The sequence below is a fragment of the Homo sapiens genome, chromosome 9, assembly GCF_000001405.40.
Source record: "Homo sapiens chromosome 9, GRCh38.p14 Primary Assembly".
Taxonomy (NCBI): Eukaryota; Metazoa; Chordata; class Mammalia; order Primates; family Hominidae; genus Homo; species Homo sapiens.
In genome coordinates, this window is record NC_000009.12 from 136,077,662 (window position 1) to 136,094,411 (window position 16,750).

Genomic DNA, 16,750 nt, shown 5'->3' on the forward strand with positions numbered 1-16,750 from the left:
GGTGACACCTGAGCAGGGGGCAGCTGTGTGGTCACCCGGGAAATGCGAGGGGACCCCAAGGACTCTGGCCACCCCCACACCGGGGAGCAGGCAAGGGGGCAACAAAATTGTGCTTAAAATTATTTATAAAGTAATAAAAGGTAAGTGAAAGTAGTTTGAAAAGTGAATAAGGAATCAGTGATGAATACTGACTTGTGCTTTATACGCAAAGGTGTGCCTTTGGGAGTGAAAACCACGTAAATAATATCAGTCCAATCATAGTTTTGTTTTGGGTTTTTTTGTACTTCTTTTTAGTAGAGACGGGGTTTCACCATGTTAGCCAGGCTGGTCTCAAACTCCTGACCTCGTGATCCACCCGCCTCGGCCTCCCAAAGTGCTGGGATTATAGGCATGAGCCACCGCGTCCGGCCCAATCATACTTTTATAATCACGAGGTTTGCCGTACTATCTTTAAACAATCCATGCACGAGTTTACAGACACAGTGGTAGAGAGTGGGATGGACCAGGCACCCACTCAAACCCTCATCCCCAAGGCCGGGTGCATACCCACCACCTGGCAGGGGTCCCCAGGACCCCCACCCCCCGCAACCTTGTGGCCAGCCCCACTCGCCTGCAGGCCAGAAGACGCCAGAATTCCACGAAGCTCAGTCCCTCGGAATGCAGAATTCATGAGGGGGACAGGCACATCTGGGGGCAGGTTCTCCAAATAATTCTGGCTCTCTCATTTCAGGAACTAAAGGCCCAGGCTTTTCCATTTAATCTTTAAATGGCAATCCTTAATACAGGTTTTTCCATTTAATCCTTAAAGTAAGCGCAGGAGAAATACCATTACCCTACTGTACAGATGAGAAAACTGAGGCTTGGAGGTGGGACGTGGCCCGCTCACTGGCCCTGGAACCGTACCTGGATGCATAGACGGGACTCCAGGGGAATGTACTCCTAGGCCATAAACCTGTGCGAGGCAAGAGGGGCCAGCCCAGCCCCGACATCGGGACAGAAAGGGGCGTGGGAATGGCTGGGGGACAGGTCAGGCACCTGAATCTCAGCCACATCAGAGCTGAGCAAAGCGAGCCCCTCAGGCAGGGCTGTCATCACGAGTGTGGCACCACAGCCACCGCCGCATCCTGGTCCCCAGTAAGCACCCCCAGCGTGGTCCCCTCCAGGAACTGAGGCTCTCAGGGCAGGGCCTCTCGCCCCTTGTCCAGGCGACCTTGTGGGTAAGCAGGGGAAGCCAAGGCAAACTCAGGAGCACACACCCATCCCCACGGGGAGCAGATGCCCTTAGCACCGTCGCCGGCATGATGCCGCGCCGCCGCCGCCCCTCTCCGATTCCCTAACGGTTCCCGAGGGAGCACTGAAGGTAAATATGTTAATTTGACTTCAATCATAGCTTCTTCTTTTTTTTTTTTTTAAGTGCACACGGTATTAGTTTAGGGCACGTAACCTGAAATCTACTCACGTATGTCTGTGCGTCCCGTCCTTAACAAGAGAAAGCTTGAGCTCTTGCCAAGAGGGCTAAGGGCTGAAGAGGCTGCAAGGTGCAGACATCCTCCCAGGGTGGGAACTGCACTCTCTGAGCTGAGGGGGAGACCAGGGAGAGGCAGGGCACTTGCCCAGAGTCCCACACCCAGGAAGGGCTGCCTGGCACCCAGCCACCTTCAGGCCTGATGGAACGGGGTGCCATCCTCTGGCTTCCAGGCAGGAGACACTCCTACAAGCACAGGATGCCAACTGCAGAAGCCAATGCGTGGACTCCGGGGGCCCTGCAGGTGCAGCCAAGGAACCAGGATCTCCAGACAGGCCCCAGGCTGTACAGGCTGGACGCCAGCAGGTGGGGCAGCAAGCCCCTCCTCACCCGCAGGCATGGGCACCCCATGGCCTGCTGAGAATGACACGAAGGAACAGGCTGACTCACTGAGTGGAAAGGCCACTTGGCCCTCAACCGAGGGCAGAAGAGAGGCCAGAGGCCCCCCAGAGCTCCTTCCTGGGGCCCTGCCGTGGCCGGCACTCCCCGAATGCACTCCAGGGTCACCAGAGCCCTGGAGCGTGGCTGCAGAAGCCAGATGGGTCTCAGGCCTCCCACTACCCATTCTGCGACTAGGAATAGGAAAGTTACGAAATCTTGAAGCCTGTAAGATTTCAGGCCACCAGGACAGGCAGCAGCCGGGGAAGTCTCAACTTTCCAGGACCCCAAGGCCCCAGGGGCCAGGCCACAGCCGTGCTGTGGAAGGAGCCGCTAGCCCTGCCACCTGTTCCCCAAGGAAAGCTTTTGGAGCTGTTCCCCAGGGAGAGGCGGCCCTCCTGGAGAGCTACAGATGGGCTCTGCTGGCCATGGGGCTGCCTGGGCCAGGCCTGGGGCTGACCTGATAGCCCACACCCTTGGCCACCCACTGTAGTCATGGCCCAGCTGGCAGAGACACACAGTCCCTACCCCGGGCGTGGCTGCCAGCCAAAGCCCATGCCACTGTGCCCCACAAAAGCCAACGGTTTGACCACAAGGGCCTCCTGGCAGGGCCCTGTAGCCACGCCACACCAGGGATGGTGCCAGAGCGGTACTGCACCCCCAGCCTGTACAGCCTCATCCCAGCAGGGCCCCCGCACCCATCTCTGTGCTCTCCTTCTCTGAGCCCAGGCCCCTTCGCTGCCCCTACATGGGATGCCACCTCTCAGGGCATCCAAAACCCAACCCAGGTTCTAGGAAAATCCGCCCAGCAGCCCACTGCAGTGGGGTATTAAAAACGTCTCTATTAAAAATACAAAATTAGCTGGGCGTGGTGGCGCACGCCTGCAATCCCAGCTACTCGGGAGGCTGAGACAGGAGAATTGCTTCAACCTGGGAGGCAGAGGTTGTGTGCTGAGATCGTGCCACTGCACTCCAGCCTGGGTAACAACAGCGAAACTCCATCTCCCCACTACCCTGCTCCAATAAAAAAACTCCAACGCTACTGCCAGCACACCATCCCCCACCCCACAGACCGCACAGAATCAGCCCAGGAAGGACACTCCACGGAGCTCTTGCTTATCTGATTTGGAGGTCGTGGAGTGTGGGTTAGCTGGGGGTCTCCTCCTCTCCAGACACGTGGAGACGGGGGGCCGTGACACACACCCAGACCCCAGCGGAGTCACTGCAGAGGATGCAGGGAGAGCAGACGGCAGATGACCACAGGCCGGCCTGTGCCCGGCGCAAACTCCAGCCAGCTGCATCAGGCCCCCAGCAGAGCCGCCCCTGCGTGCTAGGGTGCCAAGCCCCAGCCGCTCGAGTAGGTCGGGGGGACACAGGCCTGGGACAGGTCCAAGGTGGCAGCCCCTCCCGCTGTCTCCCACCCCAAGCACATTCTGATTAACAGAGGTGATGGAGGAGGAAGTTTTCATCCCAGAACCCCACGGGCCCAGGGTCACGGATCACGAACGGCTGCGGGGAGAAGAAACGCGCGTTTCCCATATTTCTCGTAACACAGGAAACCATTCCCAGAGGAGGAAGCCCAGACCAAACGGACCCTCAGTGGCCACTCGGGGACTCTCCAGCCACCCAGGCCGCTGGAAACCCAGGGGAAGGAACCAGGTGGACTCAGTCCCGACGGGCACTGGGGGCTCCGCAGGACAGGGCAGGGGTCAGCATGCCTGGGCTTGAACTGTAGAGTAACCGGAACGACCTGCACACCACACACCCCCAACCAAGATGAAGCCAGCCACCCGCTGGGCTCCCCATGGCCCAGCCCCACCCGCTCACAGCCATGGTTCCCATCCTCCACGCGTCCTCCCAGCTGGGAACTCAGCACTCGGACCTGCTCTCTGAGCGCGGGGTGCCCAGGAAGGCGGTGCCGGGCGTCCGCTTCCACCTCGGGCTGTAACAGAATTCCCTCGTGACGTTTCTTGGAAATCAGTGGCTGTAATCACAGCTGCCGAATCTCTGCAAAGGCCTCTCAGCTGCTGGGTTTTGGTGTAATTATTACGAAAGCACACTTAAAGTGAGGATGAGCTGAAGCCTCTGGGAAAACCCAAGGGCCCAGGGAGGGCAGCTGCGGCCCCCAGGCCAGGAACACACACAGCCCCTCCTGGCTCGGGCCCTGGGGCACCATCCCCACCAAGTGGCGGCAGCAGCTGGCCCCTGACCAAGCTCCCTCTACCTGGATGGCACCTGGCCCAGGTAACCAGGCAACACCAGGCTGAGGGCAAGGCGGGGAGGGCAGCCAGCCCCCACCCCCGCCCACCGGACCCCTGCTGTCTTTGCACCGCTTCTCGCAGTCCAGCCCACCTGCAGCAGCACCCCGAAACCCCAGGGCTCCTGCAGAACTCAGAGATCAGGGTGGAGCTGACGCGAGAGCCAGGCTGCAGCAAAGGCCAATCTGCCCTGGCCAGGGCCTCCAACCTCACTGGGCCCATTTCTCCTTTCACAAAATGGGGGCACCAGCCATTCTCCAAAGACTCTCCACCTGAACACGACCTGCCGGGGCCCTGGGTCAGCTCATCACTAAAGCAGGTGACCGCCCAGGACTCCCAGCAGAAGGGAGAGGTGGGGCTGAGGGATGCCCCCTCTGCCCGTCTCCCCAGGGTCTTCACCCTCAGGACCATCGGTGTGGCCACGCCACGGCCTGATGGAAGGGGGCGGGGAGCCTCAGGTCCCACACAGGCTTGGGAAGCAGAGGCCACCCCAAGGCCAAGTCCGGGCTCTGCCCCGCCTGTGCCACGTGCTGAGCCGGCGGATGGGCCTCCGGGATGCTCAGGTTCACCTGCCTCCCCACCATGCCTGTGAGAGGTCTGGGCAGGTGTGCACAGGGCCGAGCTGATGGTGGCCCTCACCTGTGAGAGGTCTGGGCAGGTGTGTGCAGGGCGGAGCTGACAGTGGCCCTCATCTCAACGGGGTCACCATCCATGAAGCACTGGGTCTGGCCCTCGGAGCCCGACAAACAAAACCAGGTAGAGCCGAGGCGTCTTAGCAGGTGCTGCTGAGCTGATGGAGACCCTCCACCCGCCAGGCCCGCGCTGCCTCCACGGACCTGCCTCCCAAGAAGCACCCCTCCTGCCAGCACCCAACCCCAACAGGGGCGCAGCCCTCAATCCAGCGTGTGCACCATCAGATCACAGCCCCCTCTCCCCGGCGGGTGGGGCTGGCTCTTGGCCAGCGGATCCCACAGACGCCCCGTTCTCTGGGTGTTGACTGCCCTCCCTCTCCCCAGAAGGAAAGACAGACACCATCTTCCATAAGCAGCTGAGTGTATTTCTGCTCATTTCCCACCGTGCATGGCCCTCTCTACGCCTAGGATTTTGTGCTGCCTGCCTCACTCCTGCCAGATATCAGGGCGAGGGGGAAGACGCCGTGTTTTACGGCTGTCATAACTTCTGCCCCATTAGACATCTACACTCACATGAAAGCGACCAGATTGATCTCCTGACGACCGAGCACTTCACACGGCAGAACCTTTCTGGCACCGCAACAGAAACCTGAGGGCCCTCTTCCTCGATGCCAGAAACGGGGCCACCCTGCTGGAGCGGAGGCTGTTGACATCACACGCTCCCAACAGAAGAGCCAGTGGCCACAGGGCTCAGGGGAGCTGGTGGGGGTCAGAGCCCCTGGGGAGCTGCTCTCCTGAGTCCAGGTACAGTCAATGCTTCACCCCAACCTGAGCCTAGGCACGCGGAGGTCATCTCCTTGCTCAGGGAGGCAGCACCGCCCTCCCTTCCTTCCCAGGCTGGGTTGGGGGGGAGGCAGCCACAGAGAAGAGGGAGTGGGGCAGGTGGACACTTTGGCCTTCACCCCTGTACTAGGAATAGCATCTCTCCAAAATCCACATGCACCCCAAACTCGAATGTGACTGTATTTGGAACTAGGGTCTTTGCAGATGTAAGATCAAGTTCACATGAGAGCTTCCCAGATTTAGGGCAGGTCCAGAGGTGTCTTCTGAGAAGGGAAAACGCGGACACCTGTGAAGAGCGCCGTGCAGAGGCCAGGCCGAGACTGGCACGAGACGGGCATGAGCCCAGGGCACCACAGGCGGCTGGCACCACGCTGCGGAGGCAGGCGGGGGCCCCGAGACACTGTGGCCTGGGGCTTTTGGCCTCCACCGCTGTGCAAGAAGAAATTCCTGCTGTTTCAGGCCTCCCCACCTCTCCACCTGTTAGTGGTGGCACGTTCCGGCCGCCCACGACATTCATCTCGACCGCTGCTGAGGGGACCCCCGGCCTGGCTGGGTTGAGGGCAGATCTTCTCAGACAGACGATGTCCACCAAGAACCTGGCTGGCCCAGGCAGCTCTGGGGCCCAGAGACAGATGCAGTCAAAGCTGAGAAAGCCTCTCCGCCTCACCCCAACTTCTCCCGCATCACTGGGTGGGGAGACCCAAGACCTGGCCACAACCCCATCTCCTAGTTCCTCTACAGCCCCACAGCCTGAGGAAGAGCGGGGAGGTAGGGAAGGTGGTGCTCGCTGAGGGTGTCCCTCACTCAGTGGCTCCAGGGACAACTGAGGGACATGGATCCAGCCAGGAGGGGACCCGTCTTTCCAGGAGCAGTGGGTTCCGATGAGACCCTCAACACCCACTCACCAACCTGCAGCCTCCCCGCTCCCAGGTCAAAGACCTCCACACCCAGACCTGGTCCTGGGTAGCCAACCCCTCCCCTACTGCATGCCCCAGCCCCTCCTGTGTCCAGCCCTGTCCCCATGCACACCTGGGGCCTTCACCAAAGGCGGGTTGCTGGAGGGCTGCTTCCGAGACTCATCCATCACACAGACACCTCCTACGCAATGTCCGGTCTCCGCTGGTGGGGCAACGTCCAAGAAGGCGGTATCTCTGACGTCCCTGCCCAAGACGCCAATCACCAGGAGGCCACAGACAAACCTACCTCGAGGGTCCATCTATCAAATCTGTCAAACTGGCCCAGACCCCGGAGTCAGGGTCACGAAGGCCATGGAAAGGCCACAGAATACACCAGGCTGGAAGAGCCCAGAGACACAGCAAGACTCAAACAGACGCGCACGCCACGTCCATAGCGGCAGCACCAGACAGCCAAGAGGCAAGTGGCCCCAGGGTCCGCCAATGGGTGACAGTCAAAGGAAATGGCGGCGGGCGCACACACACACATACATCACGCAGCCTGGAGAAGGGACGGGCTCCGCCACTCCCTGCAACCCGGAGGAGCCGTGGGGAGAGGGTGCGGAGCAAATGAGCCAGTCACACGAGGACACCCCCTGTGGGACTCCACTCACATGCAGTCCCGGAAGCAGGCCTACAGAGACAGGAAGTAGAAAGGTGCCTGCCAGGGGCTGGGGCAAGGATGGGGAGTTTGTGTCTAATGGGGAAAGGGGTTCAGTTTGGGCAGATGAAACAGTTCTAGAGATGGTGCTGAGGGCAGCGCAAAAATGTGCATGCTTCATTCCACTGAAAAAGCTAAAACGGTAAATTTTATGTATAATTAATCAGAAAGTTTTTAAAATTTGAATTTATAGCCTGGGCAACATAGGAAGACTCCATTTCTACAATTTTTTTTTTTTTTTTTTTTTTTTTTGGCGAGACTGAGTTTCGCTCTTGTCGCCCAGGCTGGAGTGCAGTGGTGCCATCTCAGCTCACTGCAACCTCCGCCTCCAGGGTTCAAGTGATTCTTGTGCCTCAGCCTCCTGTGTAGCTGGGATTACAGGTGTGAACCACTGTGCCCGACCCAAAAAAATTTTTTTAATTAGCCAGATGTGGTGGTGCACAAAAATTTTTTTTAAATCAGCCATGTGTGGGGATCCACACCTATAGTCCCAGCTACTCCAGAGGCTGAGGCGGGGAGATCACCTGAGCCCGAGTTTGAGGCTGCGATTGCACCACTGCACTCCAGCCTGGGCGACAGAGCAAGACTCTCAAAAAAAAAAAAAGTTTTTAATTAAATTTAAAGAGACTCAACAAGTAACTGTACTGAGGGGTCTGCACTGGATCTGCTGGTGTAAGGCCAGGAGGGGCCTGGGAGGCGGCTGCCAGGGGGTGGGTACAGGCGGGTGGCGGGCAGCCCTCTGCCCACACTGGAACAAGACACACAGGTATGCAGGGGAGGTTTACCTCAAATCGTTCGGGAAAATGTTCTTTGTACAATACTTGACATTTTTCTGTAAGTTTAATTACTTTATCTTTTACCTTTTTTCTTAAACATCTGAAGCAAAGTCCCCACCTGCCAATGCTGGGTAGCCAGGTGGGGTAGGTCCCTCCACAATCCTGAACTCACTGTGGAAACAAGGGGTTGGCAGAGCCCAGAGGCCGGGCGCCGTGCAGGGCAGCTCCAATGGGAGGGGCTGGCAGAGCCCGGAGGCTGGGCACTGCACAGAACGGCTCTGATGGGAGGGGTTGGCAGAGCCCAGAGACTGGGCACCGCGCAGGGCAGCTCCGATGGGAGGGGTTGGCAGAGCCCGGAGTCCGGGCGCCACGCAGGGCAGCTCCGACGGGCAGGAGCCGCCTCCAGGCCCTTCACCTCGGGCTGGAGAAAACCAAGTCACCCCTGGGGACCCTTGTTGGACATTCTAAAAACCTTCAGAAGCCACTCCCTGAATGTGGCCAGGACCCTCCATGGGCCTTCAGAGCAGCAAAGCGCAGTGCCTGCCTTCCTGTGAGAGAACCCTCACACCGTGCAGCTGGGGACAGGACGAAGGGCACATGCCCCCCGAGGCCTCCCACTCAGAGCTGGGAGGGGTTTGGGGGGTGGGGGTGCCTCTGTTTTCCTGCATCATCAGGAGCCTGGTGAGGCCTAGGGCTGAGCCCTGGGGCAGCTGCTGGTCTGGATGGCACCGGGCCTGGCTCTTGAGGTCCCAGGTCTGCGAGCGGCTGGGCTTCCCTGAGGTCTGGCTTGGTGTGGGCCCCAGGGACGTCGCATGCCCCCAGCTTCCCGACAGCCATCTGCCTGCCAGCACCCAGCCACGGTCCCACCCCGGGCTCCACTGTGACCCACACGCTGTCATTTCCAGGCCACTTCCTATGACATGGACTCACCGCCTAAACTGGGTTACAATAATTAACACGAATCCTGTTCCCAAACTTACATAACCGCAGATGACAACGCCGACTCCTAGGAAAACCCTCCCCGACCAGTGGCCCCGTTTCCCTCCCACGACCCCCGCTCAGCTTGGGCCTGGAGCTGGCCAGCTGCACTGGTTTCACGCCCATCCAGGTGCCATCCCAGCAGCGGCTGCTGTCTGTGCCTGGCTCCTCCCACTGTCCTGGGCAAGTGCAGAGCCAGCCCCCCAGTGCCCTCTACGCACTAAAGGCTTTCTGCCCCTCCCACACCACACCGGGGGTTCGCATCTACCTGACCCTTTGAATGCGGCCTTATTTGGAAACAGGGTCTTTACAGATATCATTAGTGAAAGGTAAGATGAGATATCCCGGATTTAGGGTGGACCCTAACATGCATCCTTACAGAAGGGAGAAGTTTGGACACAGATGCACAGAAGGAAGGTGGCCGTGTGAGGACGGAGGCAGAGACTGGGCCCATGATCCCACATGCCAAGAAAGGCCCAGGACAGTGGCAGCCTTGGGAGCTGGAGGGCGGCATGTGACAAAGTCTCCCTCAAAGCCTCTGGAGGAACCAGCCCTGAAGATGCACAGAGTGTCAACTCCGGGCCTGCAGAACTGGGACAGGAGCACTCTCTGAGGCTTCCTGCCACCAAACCTGTGGGCTCTGTCGTGGTGGCCCCAGGAGATGGATACCCTGCCCCCCTCCAACACACCCCAGGGTGCTGGAAAAGCCCCTTCCCTCCTCCTGGCCTGTCACCTGCACAGCTGCAAATAGACACCCTGCCCTCCTGGAGCTGGCAGACTCCCACGGGGACCCCCAGAGCGGCATTCGCAGGGGTCGGGCCAGCCCCACTGGAAGGGAGGGCGACAGAGCCAGTCCTCGCAGGGCCCGGCTGGGGAAGGGCCCCGCAGCTTCTGGGGCCGCCTGGGAGCCCTCTCTGGGTCTGCCTTGGGCTGGCCCTAGACCTTCCTGGTGACCAGAAAGCAGGATACGGTACCCCATTCGGAGCTCACAGCGGGAAAACTGAGACCCAGGGAGGCCATGGTGTTTGCCCAGCTTCCACCGCAGCACGGGGGGAAATGAGGCTCGAATCCCAAGAGAACACTTGCTCTCCAACCCTGGAAGTGGCTGCTCAGCTGAGGACAGCCCAGGACGGCACCGGCAAGATCCCCAACGAGGCCCCAAGCGCCCTGTCCTCCCCGGTCTGAGCTGCTCGAGGGAGGGCAAGCCCTCCCCGTCCCTTGTCTGCTGCCCAAGGCCGGCCGTGGCCCAGGAAGGCCCAGTTTCCCACCCCGGGGACTCTGCTGGGAAGTTCCGGGAGGTGACCTGGGGACTCTGCTGGGAAGTTCCGGGAGGTGACCTGGGGACTCTGCTGAGAAGTTCCAGAGGTGACCTGGAAGACGGGCACCCCCAGTGGCTGTCATCTCATGCACGGAGGTCAGCAGTATTCGGGGACTGTCGGGCTTGTACGGTCGCCAGGTGGACAGTGGTTCAGAGAGAGCATCAGCAGCCCCTTGGCTGTGCAGGGTCAGCGGAATTTTGCTCTAAACGTGCTCTGTCCGGCTCCCTTCCAGTGGGACGGAGCCTCTGGGGAGAATCTTCAATCTGGGAACTGTACCACTGCCCACATCAGGCCCAGATGGAAGGGATGACGGGGGCAGGGGACACACTGTACTCAGCAGGGTGGGAGGGACCCTCAGACCCCACTCCCTGCCTCTCTCCCCTAGGGCAAAAATTTGAGTCCACACAGCAATGCTGGATCCAAGCCACCGTCCACATCTTTCCCAGCAGCTGCCCCTGAGCCCCTGGAAGCTGCAAAGCCACAGTGGTCAGTCAGCAGGACGAGCCACTGCGCATGGACATGGCCCAGTCCGTGGCCAGGGACTCTTTCTCGGGGGCACTTGGGGCTCGTGGGGACCCAGGTCCGGTGACCACCGCAGTCAGCCATGGTTAACCATCAGCAGGGGCTTCACTGCCATCCCAACCACGATGGCCTCATTGAGGCCCCCACCCAGCCGGCCAGGAGGCATCGTGGTCTGGGGTCACTGAGACACAGGGAGGCAAAGGACTTGGTCTTTCCTGACCCACTGCTTCATGCCTCCTAGGGTCCCCTGGCCACAGATGAGGGCTCAGGCCTGGGCGTGGAGGGCGGGATGGGCAGAAAGCACAAGGGCTGGGCTGTCCCACAAAGGGACCTACCCCAAGCCCCGAGGGGAGCCAGCCCAGCCCCCGGCATCCTGGGGGAAGGTTTCCCGGAGGAGACAGCAGGCAATTTGCATAATATTCTTTGCAAGTTAATATCAGCCTCTGATAATGATCTCGGCATCGCGTGGAGCGGCTGAGGCGGCTGTTACAACACTAAGTAATCATATTTTAAATTATGTTTCCCTTTATAGAAAGGTGTTGCAAAAACACACAGACACGAAATCTGTCTGTTGCAGCCCCGCTGCCAACCACCTGACCAGCTTTCAGTTACGCGGTTACGTTTGCAGCACTGCAGCCCGGGAGAACCAGCGGGGCGGCAGCCACAGGCTACCCCCGGGCCCCCACCCAGAGCCTCCCCCTGCCAGGGGACCCTCCCAGCTGGGGACCCCACCCAGATCTGAGCCAGGCTCTGGCCAGGGCCCAGGGCCTCAAAGGAGGACCCACGGGCCACGTCTTCCTGAGGTCCCCACGGCCCTAGGAGGGAGACAAGGGGGCTCCCCCTCCCCACAGCCACCCCCCTTGCTAGAAACCTAGCACCCGCGAAGGCCTGACTTCCAGGCGAAGGGTAGGGGGTACAGACTTCAGAGAACTCAAGGCCCTTCAGGTTCTGCTCTGCCTGAGCCTCCATGTCACCCCCCACAACCCCACCTGGTGGGGGGCTCCTGTTAGCCCCTCCCCCAGCGCTGGGGGCCTCTCCCCAAGAAGGTGAACCCACCCTCGGGGTGCCCTCCCTCCTCTGAGGCTCCCCCAACTCATGTACCTCTACACCACTTGGCACATCCACAGTTGGGGGAGGCCCTGGGTGACCCCTGTCCCCATTCAGAATGGGGGACCCCAGCCCCAACAGAGTGAGTCATGTTCTTCTACTTTCCCTCTTCATTTAGGAGCCACGGCCGACCACTCAACCTCTATTTTCTTAAAAGCTTTTTTTTTTTCTTTTTTATTAAAAAAAAATCCAATTATAGCACAAATCTCTCAGCAGGGGTCAGTGTGGAATAAGAATAGCCAAAGTTAATGGACATGACACAGGCAAGATTAATGCCTAAAGGGTTTCAAAAGTTGTGTGATACGGATTTCATTAACATTTTAATTGTAATGTATCTTTTTAATCTTCTCTCACCCTAATGGATTTATATCCAAAAAAAAAAAGAATAAACTGCTGACAACAAAAAGTATCAATATACAAAATTTAACAAAGGCGCTTAGCTGTGCAATGGAAATGAAATTAAATGAGCAAAACTCTGTTAAAGCTGATTTTTTAACAGCACAAAAGTCAAGAATTCAGCAAAGATGGTACTTCCCCTTTCTTGGCACAGACACCAGCTGGGTGGTAGAAGGGAGATGGGCACAGCCCCCGAGGCAGATGCCCAGGGCCTGGGTGGGGGCCCTGGCCAGAGGGGATGCCTCAGGGGTCCCTGGGAGGAGGAAGATGTGGGACAACTTCCTTCTGCTCCGATCCAAAGGCAGGGCCAACGCTGACTCCCTCCAAGACCGCCGCAGAAGAACCAAGGAAGGCCCACAGCTGCCCCCTGACTCTAGGCAGTGCCCAGGAGTGAGAAGGTAACTCCTCCAGAAAACACCAGCCCACTGGGCGGAAGCCCCAGGACAGTAGGGGTGGGGAGGGAGCATCTGAAGTGTCCCTGTAAAGAGGGGGGCACTAGCATTTTGTGGGGTGGGGGCTGGGTTGCTAGCAAGTCTTCCCTCAGCAGGCACCCAGCTCCCAACGCCCTCCATGAGGGACCCCAGGCAGCTCTGGCCAACAGCACAGCCCGGATTCCAGCCTCCAGATTCCAACATCAGCTCCTGAAATGTCCTCAAGCCTGACTATGGAGGGCTGGGGGGACTTTTATTTTCAATCAACAAACATTTCTTGAGGCATGACTATGCGGAGGCTGATGCTCTACCCCTTCACAGACTACCAGGGAGGCCACCCCCAGCCCAGGGCCGGGCTGCCCTCGGGGCCCCGGTGGCTGAGCTGGGGCCGGCCAGCCCTGGGCTTGGGAGGCATCTCTGCAGCATGGCTTTGCCGTTCACCCCAGTGACTATATATGGGCACTTTCAGGCCCCTCTGTTCCCCGCCCCCAGCCCTGCCTGCTTCCCAGGCACAGGGGCAGGAGCTGGGCGGGCCCAGGAGCTCGCGGCCGCCCATGGCCCTGTGCCCTCCTGGATGCCAGGGCCCCGCACTGGGGGAGGGGAGATTCCTTTAGAGAGACCCGGAGCCAGCCTCTCCTCCCTGTGGGTCCCTGCAAACAACCTCTGGAGAAAAGCCTGCCTCTTGTTCTCCCGGGAGACTCCATGGCGGCCTCCTCTTAAAGGGTAGTGAGCCTTACATGGGATTCAGTGGCTTCACTGGCCCAACAGCCCCCAGGCCAGCCCCAGCCGGCATGAAGGCAGAAAGGCCGGGCTGCCCACATTCAGCCTCCAGCTCCTCGGAGGAGGCAGAGGATGCTACTCTGTAGCAGGACGGCCTCAGGGAGGACGGGTTCCTCACTCAAGGTCACACAGCCTGGGCTGGGCGTTCTCCCAGGAGACCTGAGCCCAGGGTTCTGGCTGCCAAGTGCTCCAGTGAGGACCCAGGCCCAGCAAGCAGACACTGGGGATGTGGTGGGGCCCCAGGAGCCCTGGGTCAGGGTCCCAAATGCCCTCCCCTACTCAGACTAGCTCCCAGGCTGATCCCCTGTGTGGACAGGGGTGAGTGCCGGTCCCGGAGTTCATGTCCCCAAATGACAAGCAACCAATACTTCCAGACAGATGCCTTCACGCCTGCCCACTGCGCTCTGCTGAGACCCTATACAAGGGTGTGTGCTTCCAAAACCCAAACCGTAAACAGCAAACGCAGGAAGGCCACAGCTGAGGGAGCTAGGGCTCCCAGCAAATGGGCAGCTGCAGGTGACACAGTAAGGAGCCCCAGCCAGCCAGGAGGCATATTTTACAAATGATCTCATCTCACCAAGAGCCAGGGCTGGTGAGAGCAAGGATTTGCTTAAAAAAAAAACCAACAACAACAACAAACAAAAAAACAGAGGTCACCAGGATCCCTGCCCCGCAACAGAGGCGGAGGCAGGCGTGGAGCAGCAGCCCCTGGCCTGGGTAACCTCGCTCCCCGGCCCCCACAGCCAAGGCCCAAACAACCTTCCAGTCACATCTCCTCTGTGACTCTGGACAGGCTGAAAGGGAAACGAGATCCACCTGGGGATTAGGGGGCGCCTCAGGGAGGCCGGTGTGGGGGCCACACACAGCTCTGAACTGGGGCCCAGTGGGGAGACAAGAGTAGAGAAACGCTGGCCAAGCTCCCCCACCCAAGGCCCGACTGCCCACCTCTGGGAGGACCAAGGGCGTGCCCAGAGAGGGTGCCAGGAAAGGAACGAAATGCTGGGGAGAGGGCACTTCGGGGAAGGCCCAGGACCCAGGGAGCTGGGTCTGCAGACACTCACCGCCGGGGAGCCTGACCGGAGATGGGGTGAGAGGCCCCAGTGAGCCAGCTCTACACAGGTTCCCAAGACCCCTCATCAGCCCCCAGTGAGACCAGACCCAGTCAGACCTCACAAACTCCCGCACCTGCCCACATGCATCAGACGGCGGCTCAGGTCCAGCGTCCAGACGGGCTAGCGCTACTTCTCTCCTGCCTTGGAGGGCGCTCCACGGCCTCACACCACAGGGCTTTGCTTCTCCTTCGAGCCACGCCTGGAAGCCCAGCCCCAGGTTTCCTCAGCCCAGGCCAGAAATGTCACCCTGAAGTGGAAGGTGGCCTACCTTGTCCTCAGAACCACAATGGGAGGCTGGTCAGCCTGGGCCACTGAGGCAGGGACATGTGCTACCAAGGTGAAGGTGGACTGGGCCGGAGGAGCAGCAGAGTCAGGGGGCCCCATAGTCAAGTTCCCAAATGTGTTCGTTACACTGGGGTCTGTAGAAGGCCTTGGTTCTCCGGAGAAACATGCTGGTGTATCCTGGGGTAAGGGGTGCCACCTGCTGCCCCCCTGTGGACTCCGACCCTCATCCCACCGGCCACAGTCCAACTGGATCTCGGAACCCACTGCGTGACCCTGCAAAGGGGATGGAGTGACCCCAAGGGGCTGTGAGATGCAGAGAGGCAGCCTGGGGACAGTGTGTGGAGGTGGCTAGAACAGGGCTGGCTGAGGAAGGAACATGGGCTCTGCCCCACTGACGGTGGCTGGGGCCACTGGGCACTCGGTGCCCTGTGCGTTCCAGGGACACAGGTCAGAGGCACAGACCTCAGAGGAAGGGGCACAAGGTGGAACCTTGGGAACTCAACATCCCGAAAAGGACAACACCTTGGTTCCCCATTCCATCCCTCGGGCCTGGGAGACCACACTGCCCACAAACCAGGAAAGCAGGACTCCGGAGGCAGAGGCCAAGAGGAGTGCAGGCCTGGAAGAACCGCTCAGCACCAAGATCGTCACTGTTGTTTCATGAATAATGCAGCCTCATGCTTTAATTGGAAAACAAAGGGAGGATTGAAGAATTTTTTAAAAGTCACCACTAGCCCCCTGCCCAGGGCAGAGCAGCCCTGCGAACCCTTCCAGCAGCCGGTGGTAAAGAACAGAGCCTGTTCTCGCAGCCTGTAGCAGCCCAGCTCCCACTGCTCCCAGCAGGAGATCTCCCGGGTGGCTCCTCCCCGCCTTCCCGCCAGGCCAGGGCCAGCACCATCGAGCCCTGGGTGTGACCACTGCGAAAGGATCCCTGGCCACTAAGAAGTGACAAGTGATATCTTGTTCCACTCTCTGTGCCCATTCCAAGTGGCTTTGCCGAAAGGACAGGGGGCCACCACCTTGGGTGGCAGCTCCTTTTATTTCCTCCCCTTGGACTCTGGCCCAGCTACCACCCAACAGTGACCCCAGGGGAAAACGCCAAGAGGCCTCTTTAAGGGAGGGGCTGGGAAAGGCCCCACAGAGGACCAGAGGGGTGCTCCAACGGTGGCCGGGAGAAGAAGGGGTGGGTGGCTGAGAGGTGGCGGGTGGGGCGGGGGCTGCCTGAACCCTGACCTAACTCTAGGCGCCCCTGCTGGGGGGTGCTACAGGCTAAAACACCCTGCAGAATGCTGAGCTGAGTGTCCCACTGGAGAACAGGAGGGAAGGAGGTCAGGAGCCTGCCAGACGAAAAGAGGGGTGGGTGAGAAGAAGGGGCGACCTGGAGGGACACGGACTCTGGCAGGAGAGTGCGGCCGCGCTGGCGGGCGGGAACACCAAGGTGCACGCGCTCCCGGAGGCAGCTCCACGGGATGGGAGTCCGGGCTGCCTTGGGCACCCCCGGGTCAGCACCCCCGCCACACACAGGAAGGAACGCGCAGCAGAGAACACAGCTCAGGGCACCCAGCGGCCCAGGGAGACGGGCCCACCAGCACGTGGGTGAAACACCTCCAATCCGGAGGCCCCGCGCGGGGGTTGGGGGAGGGAGTGGAACGGCCTGGGAGGCCAACTCCAGGGACCCGGCCTCGCGGCCTTCAGACCCACAGGTTTAAGCGGCTCCACGACGAGAGTCCAAGACCAAACTTCCCCCAGAGCCTGGCAGAGGGGCTGGGAGGTGACCTCTGACCTCCGACCCCA

The 16,750-nt window shown here is 59.9% G+C and overlaps 1 protein-coding gene across 1 annotated transcript in view, besides 4 other annotated features; it reads right to left on the reverse strand.

The window, feature by feature from the left end:
* Positions 1 to 16,750, reverse strand: part of NACC2 (NACC family member 2) — an 88,753-nt gene that overhangs the window by 71,125 nt on the left and 878 nt on the right. The window lies entirely within an intron of this gene.
* Positions 3,078 to 3,839: an enhancer, noted in NCBI's record as "H3K4me1 hESC enhancer chr9:138972585-138973346 (GRCh37/hg19 assembly coordinates)". NCBI's record gives its function as "activates a minimal SCP1, AML or CMV promoter by ChIP-STARR-seq in primed H9 embryonic stem cells {active_cell/tissue: H9 hESC(primed)}" and the evidence as "EXISTENCE:reporter gene assay evidence [ECO:0000049][PMID:30033119]".
* Positions 9,284 to 10,243: an enhancer, noted in NCBI's record as "H3K27ac-H3K4me1 hESC enhancer chr9:138978791-138979750 (GRCh37/hg19 assembly coordinates)". NCBI's record gives its function as "activates a minimal SCP1, AML or CMV promoter by ChIP-STARR-seq in primed H9 embryonic stem cells {active_cell/tissue: H9 hESC(primed)}" and the evidence as "EXISTENCE:reporter gene assay evidence [ECO:0000049][PMID:30033119]".
* Positions 12,872 to 13,564: an enhancer, noted in NCBI's record as "H3K4me1 hESC enhancer chr9:138982379-138983071 (GRCh37/hg19 assembly coordinates)". NCBI's record gives its function as "activates a minimal SCP1, AML or CMV promoter by ChIP-STARR-seq in primed H9 embryonic stem cells {active_cell/tissue: H9 hESC(primed)}" and the evidence as "EXISTENCE:reporter gene assay evidence [ECO:0000049][PMID:30033119]".
* Positions 15,644 to 16,335: an enhancer, noted in NCBI's record as "H3K27ac-H3K4me1 hESC enhancer chr9:138985151-138985842 (GRCh37/hg19 assembly coordinates)". NCBI's record gives its function as "activates a minimal SCP1, AML or CMV promoter by ChIP-STARR-seq in primed H9 embryonic stem cells {active_cell/tissue: H9 hESC(primed)}" and the evidence as "EXISTENCE:reporter gene assay evidence [ECO:0000049][PMID:30033119]".